The sequence below is a fragment of the Homo sapiens genome, chromosome 4 (genome assembly GCF_000001405.40).
Source record: "Homo sapiens chromosome 4, GRCh38.p14 Primary Assembly".
NCBI lineage: Eukaryota > Metazoa > Chordata > Mammalia > Primates > Hominidae > Homo > Homo sapiens.
Genome location: NC_000004.12, coordinates 70,554,480 through 70,558,870, shown reverse-complemented (window position 1 = coordinate 70,558,870; position 4,391 = coordinate 70,554,480).

Here is a 4,391-nt window from a genome sequence, read left to right as displayed (position 1 = left end):
CTAACCATCTTCATGAAAAAGAAGAAATAAAAAATATAAATGTAATTCAGATTTTCTTTTGTAAAGAATGATAATTTCATTACAGAAAGCAGAAGCAGCCTTGGCTATCTGCTGTGACACCTTAACTGTCACAAGGTCCATAAAGCATTGTTCCTGTGAGGTGAAGATTATATTTTCTGCAGAATCTTTTTTTTTTTTTGAGACGGAGTCTTGCTCTGTCACCCAGTCTGGAGTGCAATGGCACGATACTGCGCCCGGCTAGAATTTTATCTTAAACCTATCACGTAGTCCAACCTGTTTATTTTCACTTTGTATTTTAAAAAGAGAATTGAAATTATAAGTATATATTGCTCAAATTTTGCAGAACAGCTTTGAATTCATTTCTCATTTTATCCTCCACAGCACTGAGATAGGGTGATTATTATTAGTTAGCATCACTGTTTTACAGATTTCAAAATGTAGGCTTTGAGATGTTAAGTTGTCTAAGGACACAGAGCAGGTTATTGACCAGTACTCTTTCCTTCCTCCCTGAAACTTTCCAACACTTTCTGAAAGTGAAAGTGGAATGTAAAATTCTCTTGCTCTTCTTACAGGCCAGAAAACTTACAGTGCAATAAATAATAATTATAGTCAATCTTTATTTAATTTTTATGACATGCTAGAGAGTTTGTCAAGTTTGTTTTCCAAGTAAATGCTCTTACTTAATGTTCTTTGCAATGTCACCAGGGTGTTGAAGCAGACAAGGAGAGGATTGGCACCTGATTGAATATGATGGGCAGGAGAAGAGGGAAGCATAAAGGGTCACGATGGTTATGAGCTTTGGTAATGTGGAATGTGGTAGAACCATTAACAAAAATAAGGATGAAGAAAGAGAAACTTGGGGGAAGGGGAAGAGAATTGCATTTTCTTTTTTTTTTTCCTTTTTATTTTTTTGAGACGGAGTCTGGCTCTGTCGCCCAGGCTGGAGTGCAGTGGCGTGCTCTCCGCTCACTGCAAGCTCCGCCTCCTGGGTTCACAGCATTCTCCTGCCTCAGCTTCCCGAGTAGCTGGGACTACAGGCGCCCACCACCACGCCTGGCTAATTTTTTTATATTTTTAGTAGAGATGGGGTTTCACCGTGTTAGACAGGATGGTCTCCATCTCCTGACCTCATGATCCACCCGCCTCGGCCTCCCGAAGTGCTGGGATTACAGGCGTGAGATACCGTGCCCAGCCTGCATTTTCAAATATGTCATGTGTGTAATGTCAACTCTGCAGTATGCCCACTATTTGACTTCTTTAAAGCATCTAGAATAATTTGTCAAAATTTTAATGTGCTTACGATTGTAATGGTTTAAAGACAGATTTGATCAGATCTGAGAATGTAAGCTTATGACTTTCGGCAGTCATGTAGTAGTCACTTGTTTGGCATGGTGTAAAAGCTTCCCTAAGCATGTTTCTTAAGATTGCATTGGTGTAACTAGCTTCAATTAGTCTGGTGAGACATTTCTTTGAAAAGCAAACCAGATTACGATTACAGTGTGTAGGGCAGACAGAACGTGGAGGTGGGTGAATGATTGGTAATTAACTAGAAGAAACTTGCTGACACAACGTCTGATTTTTAGCAGTGTTATATATGCATGTTGGTGCTTATTGTACAGGAATTTTCCTTTTCTGTTACCCCACAACTACATCCTTCCGAGTGTTAGAGTTTGGGGAGAAATAGGACATAATTAAGCAATCTTACATTAGCTGATCAATCACACAAATAGTGCCCACAAGAATGTACAACACAGTCCTGGTCAGAGTCATATCTTGCAACTCATATAGATCCCTCAGGGGCATGGGTGCAATTAGTCATCCTCACTGGCTACTCACAGATAAGAGTTCTTCCATCTCTCATAGAAATAACAGTTTAAGTTTATATATTACTCTATACAGCAGAGGGGAACAAAAAAACCTTCCCTTTGGATTTAAGCATTTTCCATGGCTGCTAGATTATTTTAGTTTAGGCCCCACACTTTATTTGTCCCAGGCTTCCAAAGCAAGTAGTCATTTCTATCTGATTCCTCATTGGATAGGGCTGATGGAGCGGTCTCATTCCATGGATGGAGTGCCTATGAGGTGGTAAGATCTTTCACATTGCTAAGACAGACCACCTCTTAGCTTGTCTTCCATTTGATATTATTCCTAAAAACTCTCCCTTCCCTTCTTTTTGTTCTCTTACCAAATGCCCCCTCTGTTATCCTTAGGAAATATCATGTTGCAGCAACAGAGAGGGATAAACAGAAAAAAAAAATTATCTCACTGATTCCAGTTTTCAGGAAGGGATAAAGAGTAAACAATTCACAATGATAGGAAATTCCAACTTAATTTTTTATATAGTTGGATCAACAGAGACAAATTTTTTTTTGATTCAAAATTTCTTTTTTTTTCAGATACATTATGGTTTATTACTATCATGTAATATTTGTCAACTATCTTTTTAAATTTTTTTTTTAAATTATACTTTAAGTTCTGGGATACATGTGCAGAGCGTGCAGGTTTGTTACATAGGTATTCGTGTGCCATGGTGGCTTGCTGCACCCATCAACCCGTCATCTACATTAGGTATTTCTCCTAATTCTATCCCTCCCCTAGTGCCCCACCCTCAATAGGCCCCAGTGTGTGATGTTCCCCTCCTTGTGTCCATGTGTTCTCATTGTTAAACTACCACTTATGAGTGAGAATATGTGGTGTTTGATTTTCTGTTCCTGTGTTAGTTTGCTGAGAATGATGGTTTCCAGCTTCATCCATGTCCCTGCAAAGGACATGAACTCATCCTTTTTTATGGCTGCATAGTATTCCATGATGTATATGTGCCACATTTTCTTAATCCTGCCTATCATTGATGGGCATTTGTGTTGGTTCCAAATCTTTGCTATCGTGAACAGTGCTGCAATAAACATACATGTGCACTGTCTTTATAGCAGTATGATTTACAATCCTTTGGGTATATACCCAGTAATGGGATTGCTGGGTCAAACGGTATTTCTGGTTCTAGATTCTTGAGGAATCACCACACTGTCTTCCACAATGGTTGAACTTATTTACACTCCCACCAATAGTGTAAAAGCGTTCCTAGTTCTCCACATCCTCTCCAGCATCTGTTGTTTCCTGACTTTTTAATGATCGCCATTCTAACTGGCGTGAGATGGTATCTCATTGTGGTTTTGATTTGCTTTTCTCTAATGACCAGTGATGATGACCTTTTTTTCATAGGTATGTTGGCCGCATAAATGTCTTCTTTTGAGAAGTGTCTGTTCATATCCTTTGCCCACTTTTTGATGGGGTTGTTTTTTTTTCTTGTAAATTTGTTCAAGTTCCTTGTAGATTCTGAATATTAACCCTTTGTCAGATGGATAGATGGCAAAATTTTTCTCCCATGCTGTAGATTGTCTGTTCACTCTGATGATAGTTTCTTTTGCTGTGCAGAAGCTCTTTAGTTTAATTAGATCCCATCTGTCAATTTTGGCTTTTGTTGCCATTGTTTTTGGTGTTTCAGTCATGACATCTTTGCCTATGCCTATGTCCTCAATGCTATTGCCTAGGTTTCCTTATAGGGTTTTTGTGGTTTTAGGCTTATGTTTAAGTCTTTAAACATCTTGAGTTAATTTTTGTATAAGGTGTAAAAAGGGATCCAGTTTCAGTTTTCTGTATATGGCTAGCCAGTTTTCCCAACACCATTTATTAAACAGGGAATCCTTTCCCCATTGCTTGTTTTTGTCAGGTTTGTCAGATCAGATGGTTGTAGATGTGTGGTGTTATTTCTGAGGCCTCTCTTCTGTTCCATTGGTCTGTATATCTGTTTTGGTACAAGTACCATGGTGTTTGTTACTGTAGCCTTGTAGTAGTATAGTTTGAAGTCAGGTAGCGTGATGCCTCAAGCTTTGTTCTTTTTGCTTAGGATTGTCTTGGCTATACGGGCTCTTTTTTGGTTCCATATGAAATTTAAAGTAGTTTTTTTCTAATTATGTGAAGAAAGTCAATGGTAGCTTGATGGGGATATCATTGAATCTATAAATTACTTTGGGCAGTATGGCCATTTTCATGACAGTGATTATTCCTATCCATGAGCGTGGAATGTTTTTCCATTCGGTTGTGTCCTCTCTTATTTCCTTGAACAATTGTTTGTAGTTCTCCTTGAGGAGGTGTTGGAGGCCGCACAAGTGTTTCTTATGATTGGGCATGATTGAAGCCTGTTAGTAAAAATATGAACCTGTGATCAATTGAGCAGCTGATCAATCATTACCTCCTCCTTCCTGCTCTTGTTATCCAATATATACAGGGGGTGGCCTATGATCATTGGGTAGTAGGGAGCTCTCTTCTTCTTCCCCATGCTAGCCTTTCCTTAAAATAGTTTCTTTTTTCCT